Source organism: Homo sapiens, chromosome 2 (genome assembly GCF_000001405.40).
Source record: "Homo sapiens chromosome 2, GRCh38.p14 Primary Assembly".
In the NCBI taxonomy this organism is placed as follows: Eukaryota; Metazoa; Chordata; class Mammalia; order Primates; family Hominidae; genus Homo; species Homo sapiens.
Window position 1 is genome coordinate 34,537,402 of NC_000002.12, and position 10,970 is coordinate 34,548,371.

At 40.0% G+C, this 10,970-nt stretch overlaps 1 annotated feature.

Moving 5' to 3' along the window:
- Positions 7,766-8,343: an enhancer, noted in NCBI's record as "H3K27ac-H3K4me1 hESC enhancer chr2:34770234-34770811 (GRCh37/hg19 assembly coordinates)". NCBI's record gives its function as "activates a minimal SCP1, AML or CMV promoter by ChIP-STARR-seq in naive H9 embryonic stem cells {active_cell/tissue: H9 hESC(naive)}" and the evidence as "EXISTENCE:reporter gene assay evidence [ECO:0000049][PMID:30033119]".

Sequence of the window (10,970 nt, forward strand, 5' to 3'; positions counted from 1 at the left end):
CCACACTTCTCTAATAATGCTACTGTGGATCAATTTTTATTTTTAAAGTGTTGAGGCTGGTGATGTAGTAGTAAGACTATGGGCTTTGAAGGCACATACATCTGAGTTTATGTTCTGCCTTCACCACTGTGTAAATGGGAGATCTTGGATAGTTTATTAACCTTGGCATCTCAGTGTGATTATCTATAAATTGAAGTTATGAACACCTACTTAGCATCTCCAGAGTGAGGGTAAAATGTCCTAATAAAGGTATGTGACTAGAACAATGGCTGCCATATAGTAATTACTTGGCAAATGACAGGCATGGCCTAGAAACAGAATACTCTTCCCATTTTTGTTGTTTTGAGACAAACTCAAAGATGGCCTTGTATATTCCATAACAACTTTAGCATTGGCCTCCTAATTTGTATTTTCCTTTTGTTCTACCATTATTTGAATAACTTCAGAATTACCCTGATTTTTTAATATATATCACATTTGGACCACATTATCATTAATAAATGTTCTAAGATCTTAAAATTTGAAATTACTCTTGCTGACCATCATTATTTCTCCTTACACTCCATCACTTTCCTATTCTTCAAGTTTATCATATCTAAAATATTTTTTGATATAGTCTAGGTGGTTACACAAACACACACAAATGTGCATGTATATATATATGTGTGTGTGTGTGTGTGATCATATTATCTGTAAAGAGAGACAATTTTATTTCCTCTTTTCCGATTTGGGTGCCTTTTTTTTTTTCTCATGTCTGATTGCTCTGATTGGAAATTCCAGTACTATGTTGAATAAAAGTGGTGACAGTGTGCATCCTTATCTTCTTCCAGCTCTTAAAGGAAAGGCTTTCAGCTTTTCCCCATTCACTATGTTACCTGTAGGTTTGTCATATATGGCCTTTATTACGTTGAGATATGTTCCTTTAATGCCTGATTTGTTGGTTTTTGTCTTTCATTCTGTTGATGTGATGCATCATGCTTATTGGTTTATGGATGTTAAACTATCCTTGCATCTCTGGAATAAATCCCACTTGATCATGCTATATTATACTTTTGATGTACTGTTGGATTTTGTTTGCTGATATTTTGTTCAGAATTTTTGTGTCTATGTTCATCAGGGATATTGGCCTATAGTCTCCTTTGTTTGTTGCATTCTTTTCTGGTTTTGGTATCAGGTCCAAATCAATGTTGGCCTCTTCAAATGAGACTGGGAGAATTGCCACCTCTTATGTTTTCTTGAAATAGTTTGAGGAGAATTGGTCTTATTTCTTCTTTTTAAGTTTAGTAGAATTTGGCAGTGAAGCCATGTGGTCCTGGAATTTTCTTTGTTGGGAAACGTTTTATTATTGACTTGATCTTTTACTCATTATTGGTCTGTTCAGGTTTTCAATTTGTTCCTGATTCAATCTTGGTAGGTTGTATGTGTTCAGGAATTCATCCATTTCTTCTAGGTTTTCCAGTATATTAATGTGTAATTTTTTGTAACAGTCTCTAATCTTTATTATTTCTATGGTATCATTTGTAATGTCTCCTTTTTGTTTCTGATTTTGTTTACTTGGATCTTCCCTATTTTATTTTTGGTTAGATAAGCTAGCATTCAATCATGTTGTTTATCTTTTCAAAATAACCAACTTTCTGTTTCATTGATCCTTTGTGTTTTTTGGGGGCTCTTTTTTTGCTTAGGTCTTTATTATTTCTTTTCTTCTACAAATTTGGGGTTTGGTTTGTTCTGGCTTTTTAGTTTCTTGAGTTTCATCATTAGATTATTTTAAATCTTTCTACTTTTTTGATGCATGTGTTTATTGCTATAAAATTCTTACCACTGCTTTTGCTCTATCTTACAGGTTTTGGTATTTGGTGTTTTGATTTTTACTTGTTTCAGAAAAACTTTTTGTTTTCCTGCTTAATTTCTTCCATGACTCATTGATCATTCAGGAGTAGTTGTTTAACTTCTATGTATTTGTACATTTTCCCCAAAGTCCTCATGTTAATTGATTTCTAGTTTTATTGCATTATGGTCTGAGAAGATATTTGATATAATTTTGAGTTTTAAAAATGTGTTGAGACTTGTTTTGTGACCTAACAAATAATCTATCCTGGAGAATGTTTATTGTACTAATGAGGAGACTGTATTCTGTAGCTTTTGGATAAAATGTACTGTAAATGTAATATCTGCTAGGTCTATTTAGTCTAAAGTGCAGTTTAAATCTCATGTTTCTTTGTTAATTTCTGTCTTGATAATATTCATAATGTTGAGAGTGGGGTATTGGAGTCCCAAACAATTATTGTGTTGGAGTCTATCTTTTCCTATAGATCTGATGATATGTGCTTTATGTAGCTCCATGCTCTGGTTTTGGGTGCATATATGTTTAGAATTGTTATATTCTCTTGCTGAATTGACTCTTATATCACTATATAATGACCTTCTTTTACTCTTACTACTATTTTTGACTTAAAGACTGTTTTATCCACTGTTAGGTATAGCTACTCTGCTCACTCTTGGTTTTCCTTCATATGGAATATCTCTTTTCACCCCTTTACTTTCAGTCTATATATGTCTTTACAGGTGAGCTTTATTTTCTTGTAGGCAGCCTCCACAGTTGGGTCATAATTTTTTTAAGCCTTTGGCCAGTCTATATCTTTTAAGTGGAAAGTTTAGTCCATTTACATTTAATATTATTATTAATATGTAAAGAATTATTCTTGTCATTACAGTAATTGGTTTCTGATTGTTTTGTGTATCATTTATTCCTTTATTTCTCTCTTATTGTTTATCATTGTGGTTTGGTGGTTTTCTATAGTGGTAACATTTGAGTTATTTATCTTCCTTATTTATGTGCTTGCTCTACTAGTGGGTTTTATACTTTCATGTGTTTTCATGATGATAGATATATTTATTTTGCTTCCAGGTGCAGGACTTTCTTAAGCATTTTTTGTAGGGCCAGTCTAGTGATGAATTCCCTCAGCTTCTGCTTGTTTAGGAAAGATTTTATTTCCCTTCATTTATGAAGGATAATTTTGCTTGATGTAGTAGCTTTGATTGACAGTTTTTTTTCTTTCATCACTTTGAATATATCATCCCATTCTCTCCTAGCCTGTAAGGTTTCTGCTGAGAAATTTACTGTTAGTATGATGGTGGTTCCTTCATAAGTGACTAGATGCTTTTCTCTTGCTGTTGTTAGAATTCTCTCTTTGTCTTTGACTTTTGACAGTTTGTACATTATGTGCCATTTTCGAAATGTGCCATTTTTGAAGTGTATCTGTTTGGGAATTTCTGAGCTTCCTATATCTGGAAGTTTAAATCTCTTGTTACACTTGGGAAATTTAAGCTATTATTTTGTTAAATAGGTTTTCTATTTCTTTTGTTTCCTCTTCATCTTCTGGGATACTGAAAATTCAGATATTTGGTGCTTTAAGATGTCCCCTGTATCACATAGGCTTTGTTTATTCTTTTTTATTATCTTCTTAAATGTTTGTATCACTAGAGTACTACAAAAGATCTGTCTGTCTTCAGCTTCTGAAATTCTTTCTTCTGCTTGGTCTAATTTATTGTCAATGCTTTTGTCTTTTTGTATTTCAGTCAATAAATTACTCAGTTTTATAATTTCTATTATTTTTGTTTTTATTTTACTTTAAGTTCCGGGATACATGTGCAGAACGTGCAGGTTTGTTACATAGGTATACATGTGCCATGGTGGTTTGCTGCACCTATCAACCTGTCACCTATGTTTTAAGCCCTGCATGCATTAGCTATTTGTCCTGATGCTCTCACTCTCCTCACCCCCACCCTGCCTGACAAACCCCGGGGTGTATTGTTTCCCTCCCTGTATTCATGTGTTCTCATTGTTCAGCTCCCACTTATGAGTGAGAACATGTGAGAACATGTTTGGTTTTCTGTTCCTGTGTTAGTTTGCTGTGGACAATGATTCATCCATGATCTTATTCCCTTTATGGCTGCATAGTATTCCATGGTGTATATGTATCACATTTTTTTAATCCTGTCTATTATTGATGGGCATTTGGGTTGATTCTATGTCTTTGCTATTGTGAATAGTGCTGCAGTAAACATATGTGTGCATGTGTCTTTATAATAGAATGATTTATATATTTTTTGGTATATACCCAGTAATGGGATTGCTGGGTCAAATGGTATTTATGGTTCTAGATCCTTGAGGAATCTCCACACTGTCTTCCACAATGGTTGAACTAATTTACACTCTCACCAACTGTGTGGAGCTTCCTCCACAGCCTCACCAGCATCTGTTGTTTCCTGACTTTAATAATCGCCTTTCTGACAGGAGTGAGATGATGTCTTATTGTGGTTTTGATTTACGTTTCTCTAATGATCAGTGATGTTGAGCTTTTTAAAATATGTTTTTTGGCCACATAAGTGTCTTCTTTTGAGAAGTACCTGTTCATGTCCTTTGCCCACTTTTTAATGTTTTCTTGTAAATTTGTTTAAGTATCTTGTAAATTTTGGATATTAGACCTTTGTCAGATGGGTAGATGGCAAAAATTTTCTCCCATTCTATAGGTTGCCTGTTTGCGCCGATGATAGTTTCTTTTGCTGTGCAGAAACTCTTTAGTTTAATTAGATCCCATTTGTCAATTTTAGCTTTTGTTGCAATTGCTTTTGGTGATTTAGTCATGAAGTCTTTGCCCATGCCTATGTCCTGAATGGTATTGCCTAGGTTTTCTTCTAGGGTTTTTATGGTTTTGGGTTTTACATTTAAGTATTAATCCATCTTGAGTTAATTTTTGTATAAGGTGTAAGGAAGGGGTCCAGTTTCAGTTTTCTGCATATGGCTAGCCAGTTTTCCAGCATGATTTATTAAATAGGGAGTCTTTTTCCCATTGCTTGTTTTTGTCAGGTTGTTGAAGATCAGATGGTTGTAGATGTGTGTTGTTATTTCTGAGGTCTCTATTCTGTTACCTTGGTCTATATATCTGTTTTTGTACCAGTACCATGCTGTCTTGGATACTGTAGCCTTGTAATATAGTTTGAAGTCAGGTAGCATGATGCCTCCAGCTTTGTTTTTTTTTTTTGCTTAGGATTGTCTTGGCTATACAGGCTCTTTTTTGGTTCCATATGGATTTTAGAGTAGTTTTTTTCCAAATTTTTGGAGACTGTCAATGGTAGTTTGATGAGAATAGCATTGAATCTATAAATTACTTTGGGCAGTATGGCCATTTTTATGATATTGATTCTTCCTACCCATGAGGATGGAATGTTTTACCATTTATTTGTATCCTCTCTTATTTCTTTGAGCAGTGGTTTGTACTTCTTCTTGAAGGGGTTCTTCATGTTCCTTGTTAGCTGTATTTCTAGGTATTTTATTCTCTTTTTAGCAATTGTGAATGGGAGTTCATTCATGATTTGGCTCTCTGCTTGTCTGTTATTGGTGTATAGGAATGTTTGTGATTTTTGCACAATGATTTTGTATCCTGAGACTTTGCTGAAGTTGCTTATTAGCTTAAGGAGCTTTTGGGCTGAGACGATGGGGTTTTCTAAATATAGGATCATGTCATCTACAAATAGAGACAATTTGACTTCCTCTCTTCCTATTTGAATATCCTTTATTTCTTTCTCTTGACTGATTGCCCTGGCTAGAACTTCCGATACTATGTTGGAGAGGAGTGAGTTTCTTAATCTTGAGTTCTAATTTGGTTGCATTATGTTCTGAGGAGTGTTTTACTTCCAATTATGTGGTCGATTTTACAGTAAGTGCTATGTGACACTGAAAAGTATGTATATTCTGTTGTTTTTGGGTGGAGGGTTCTGTAAATATGTATTAGGTCCACTTGATTCAGAGCTGAGTTCAAGTCCTGAATATCCTTGTTAATTTTCTGTCTTGATGATCCATCTAATATTGACAGTGTGGTGTTAAAGTCTCCTACTCTTATTGTGTGGGAGTCCAAGTGTCTTTGTAGTTCTCTAAGAACTTGTTTTATGAATCTGGGTTCTACTGTATTGGGTACATATGTATTCAGGATAGTTAGCTGTTGTTGTTGAAGTGATCCTTCTACCATTATGTAATGCCCTTCTTTGTCTTTTTTTATCTTTGTTGGTTTAAAGTCTGTTTTGTCAGAGACTAAAACTGCAACCCCTGTTTTTTTCTGCTTTCCATTTACTTGGTAAATTTTCCTCCATTCCCTTATTGTGAGCCTGTGTGTCTTTGCACATGAGATGGGTCTTCTGAATACAGCATATTGATGGGTCTTGGCTCTTTATTTAATTTGCCTGTCTGTGCCTTTTAATTGGGGCATTTAGCTCACTTACATTTAAGGTTAATATTGTTATGTGTGAATTTGATCCTGTCATCATGATGCTATCTGGTTATTTTGTACACTAGTTGATGTAGTTTCTTCATAGTGTCATTGGTCTTTATATGTTGGTGTGTTTTTGCAGTGTCTGATACCAGTTCTTCCTTTCCATGTTTAGTGTTTCCTTCAGGAGCTATTGCAAGGCAGGCCTGGTGGTGGCAAATTCCCTCAGCATTTGCTTGTCTGAAAAGGATTTTATTTCTCCTTCGCTTATGAAGCTTAGTTTGGACAGATATGAAATTCTGGGTTGAAAATTCTTTTCTTTAAGAATGTTGAATATTGGCCCCCACTCTTTTCTGGGTTGTATGGTTTCTGCTGAGAGATCTGCTGTTAAACCTGATGGGCTTCCCTTTGTAGGTGACCTGGACTTTCTTTCTGGCTGCCCTTAACATTTTTTCCTTCATTTAAACCTTGGAGAATCTGATGATTATGTGCCTAGGGGTTGATCTTCCCAGGGAGTATCTTAGTGAGGTTCTCTGTATTTCCTTAATTTGAATGTTGCCCTGTCTTGCTAGGTTGGGGAAGTTCTCCTGGATAATATCCTGAGGTGTGTTTTCCAACTTGGTTTCATTCTACCTATCTCTTTCAGGTACTCCAGTTGGTTGTAGGTTCACTTTTTTTTTACGTAGTCCCATAGTTCTTGGGGGTTTTGTTCATTCCTTTACATTTTTTTTCTACTCTTGTCTGCTTGCCTTATTTTAGCAAGATAGTCTTCAATCTCTGATATTCTTTCTTCTGCTTGATTGAAATCAGGCTATTAATACTTGTGTATGCTTCACAAAGTTCTCGTGCTGTGTTTTTCAGCTCCAATAGGTCATTTTTGTTATGCTTTAAACTGGTTATTCTAGTTAGCAGCTCCTATAACTTTTTATAATGGTTCTTAGCTTCTTTGCACTGGGTTAGAACATGCTTCTTTACCTCAGCGAAGTTTATTATTACTCACCTTCTGAAACCTCCTTCTGTCAATTCATCCATCTCATCCTCTGTCCAGTTCTATGCCCCTGCTGGAGAGGAGTTGCGATCATTTGGCCTTTTGGGTTTCAGCCTTTTTTTGTTCTTTCTCATCTTCCTGAGTTTGTCTAGTTTCGATCTTTGAGGCTGCTGACCCTTGGATGAGGTTTTTGTGGCGACTTTTTTTGTTGGTGCTGTTGTTGTTGATTTCTGTTTTTTGTTTTTTCTTTCAATGGTCAGGTCTCTCTTCTGTAGGGCTGCTGCAGTTTTCTGAGAGTTCACTTCAGGTCCTATTCATCTGGTTTGCTCCCGCGCCTGGAGATGTCACTCATGGAGGCTGGAGAACAGCAAAGATGGGTGGTTCCTTTGGGATCTCTGACCTTGAGGGGCACCGACCTGATGCCAGTAGGAATGCTCCTATATGAAGTGTCTGATGACCTCTGTTGTAGGGGTCTCACCCAGTTGGGTGGCACAGGAAGCAGAACGCACTTAATGAAGCACTTTGGCTGTCCCTTGGTGAAGGGGGGGGGTGTGTGCTGTGCTGCAGAGAAACCCACTCGTCTATGATGCCCAGATTCCTCAGAGCTAGCAGGAGAAAGACTAAGTCTGCTGGTCCACTTGCACTATAGGCACCCCTCCCCCTAGGGTCTCAGGCCCAGGGAGATCAGAGTTCTGTCCCCAGACCCTGGCTGGAGTTGTTAAAACTCCTTCAGGGAGGCCCCGCCCAGTGAGGATAAATGGATCAGGGTCTGGCCTGAAGAGGCAATCTGGCCATGGTCTGCCACAGCTGGTGTGCTGGGCTGTGGAGAATACCTCTTGGGACCAAGCCATCCAGCCTCCCTGGCTCCAGCAGGGGAAAAGTGTGGCCTGGAGCTACAGTGATGGCTGCTGGGCTGCCCACCTGTAGCTTAGTGGGTTAAATAGCTAGCAGCCACAGTGTTGGCTGCCGCCCCTTCCCCCAGTGAGCTCAAAAGGCTTAGATAGCAAGCAGCAGCTGCAGTGGTGATGGCTGCCCCTCCCAGCCTGGGGAACTCAGCAGGATAAGGCAGATTTCAGCTGCGTGGCTGTTGAGAATCTATGTGGCTCCGTGGTTGGGACCCAAGGCCCTGGTGGTGTGAGCTTATGAGCGGGATCTTCCGATCTGTAGGTTGCACAGTTCCGTGGAAAAAGCACGGTTTCCCATGCTGGGTAGCATGCTCACTCACCACCTCCCTTGGCTGGGGGTGGGTGTTCCCCTGCCGCCTGTGGCTCTCAGGTGGGCCACAACACCACACTGCTCTTCCTTCCTCTCTGTGGGTCACACCAGCCACCTAGTCAGTCCTGATGACTGAACCTGAATACCTCGGTCGCCAGTGCAGGATTTGCATACTGTTTTGGTTCTTTGCAACGGGAGCCTCCGATCATTGCTGCTTCTAGTTGGCCATCTTGGCCCTGCATATAAAAAAGCTCTTTTTTTTTTTTTTAATGATAGCTACTCTTTGGTAAATTTATCATTCATATCCTGTATTTTTTAAATTATTTATTTGTACAGTTTTACTGTGTTCTCTTGTTTCTCACTGATATGGTTAGGCTTTGTGTCCCCATCCAAATCTCATCTTGAATTTTAATCCCCCTAATTCCCACGTGTGTCAAGGGAGACGCCAGGTGGAGGTGATTGAATCATGAGGGCGGTTTCCCCAGGCTGTTCTTATGATAAGGAGTGAGTTCTCACGAGATCTGATGGTTTTATAAGGGGCTCTTCCCCCTTCGCTCAGCACTTCTCCTTCCTGCCTCCTTGTGAAAAAGGTGCCATGCTTCCCCTTCACCTTCTGCCATGATTGTAAGTTTCCTGAGGCCTCCCTAGCCATGCTGAACTGTGAGTCGATTAAACCTTTTTCCTTTGTAAATTACCCGGTTTCGGGAAGTTCTTTACAGCAGTGTGAAAGCAGACTAATACATTCACTGAGGATCTTCATTATCATATTTTGAATTATTTTTCCGAAATTTCATAAATTTATTTTCATTTGACTCTGTTGCTGGAGAATTACTGTGTTCCTTTGGAAGTGTCGTATTTCTTTGCTTTTTAATGTTTCTTATATCCTTACATTGATAGATTCTCATATGGTGTACCAGTCACTTCTTTAGTTTTTTTGAATTTGCTTCTGTAAGGAATTTTCTTGAAGTTGTATCTATGGTGTTCGTTGGGTGGGGTATTTTGGCTTTGTTTCTGGATGTGTACAGTAGTGTAGTCTCTATATGATTTTTTCAGCTGTAAACAGCATCAATGGTGTCTGTGATTTCCTCAGTGAGTTGGGGTGCAGTTGTTATTGGTGGCTGTGATGAAGTTTCCCTGTGGATGGAAATGTCAAGTGGGCCAGTCCTTAGGTCCTAGTAGTGCAGCAATGGGCCAAGCATGCCTGTCTTGGGCCCCATGGTGGCATACACTTGCACTAGTCTTAGCAGGTTTAGGTAGGCCAATTTTGCACCTCTAGGCAGTTTGCTCACATGCCAGTAGTGGCAGAGATGGGCTGGACAGATGGGTGGGTCCTTAGATCCCTGGCAAGTGGGCATGAAATGACTAATGATGATAGCAATGGCAGGATGACCCTCTGGCTCCCAAGAAGTCTCTGCACTGGTTTTGGCATTGGCTTTGATAGGGTGGACAGGGTAGTCCCTAGGCCTGTAGGTGGTGCATGCAGGCAGGTGCCAGGTGTGGTGGTAAGGGCTAGTTGTGTGGTCCTCAACTCAGGTACCCGGGAGAATTCTCATATGGCAACAGTTACGGATGGGGATTTGTAATCCCCAAGCGTTCAGATAGCAAGCTTGGCACTGGAAGTGGCACAGATGGGTCTGGTGGACCTGTCCTTAGGCCCTCTGGTGGTGTGTGCAGGTGCTGGCTGTGGTAAGCACAGATGGGGTTTTAGAACCCCAGCAGAATGCTTGGGTGGGAGTAGCAGGAGCTGCACTGCAGCCCTGCTACTGGAAAAGGCACAGCTGTTGCCAGTGGCAACAGCCACAGGCAGGCAGCTTGGGAGCATGTGCTTCGACTCTAGGTGGTGGCAGGTGGGATAACCTGTCCTTAAGGTGCCAATAAATGCACAGCGGTTCTGCTGCCAGAGGCAGTGGGGTCACCACCAGGGGCTTGTGCTTTAACCCTGGCGGTGGCAGCAGCTGCAGGTGAGGGTTCCTGAGGCATGTAAAAATGCATGGTGGCTTCTCCACTGGTGGGGGCAGTGGGATTGCTGCCAATAGCTCTCACTTTGGCCCTGGCAGCAGCAGCCAGCCATGGCAGTGGCCGTGGACAAAGAATGTCAAAATTTCTCCTGTGGAGACAAAGGAGCTGTTGTTTCCCAGGGCAGGATGTAGTCTGGTAGGGGCTGGGCTCTCAAAATGGCACTGTAGCTGCTTAGCACTCGGGATGTTTGGCACCAGCATGAGCTCCTCCTTTGGATCAATGGCATTGCACTGCCACTAGGCAGCTCCCTATGTTCGTTTCAGGGCCTGCAAGGGTTGAGGTCTCTTGTGCTAGCATAGCAGGAGTCTGAGGTGGGAATGTGGACTGAGGTCTTTCCCTTATCCTTTCTCCACACTAGAGAGTCCTTCTAGCCTCCTAGCCAATCTTACTTGAGCTGGCTGCCTCACTTCCCCCTTCTTCCTTGGTTTAGGTGTTTCCTGTTCTTTCTCTGTTTAATTAGTGTGTTCTCTTTCAGATGATCT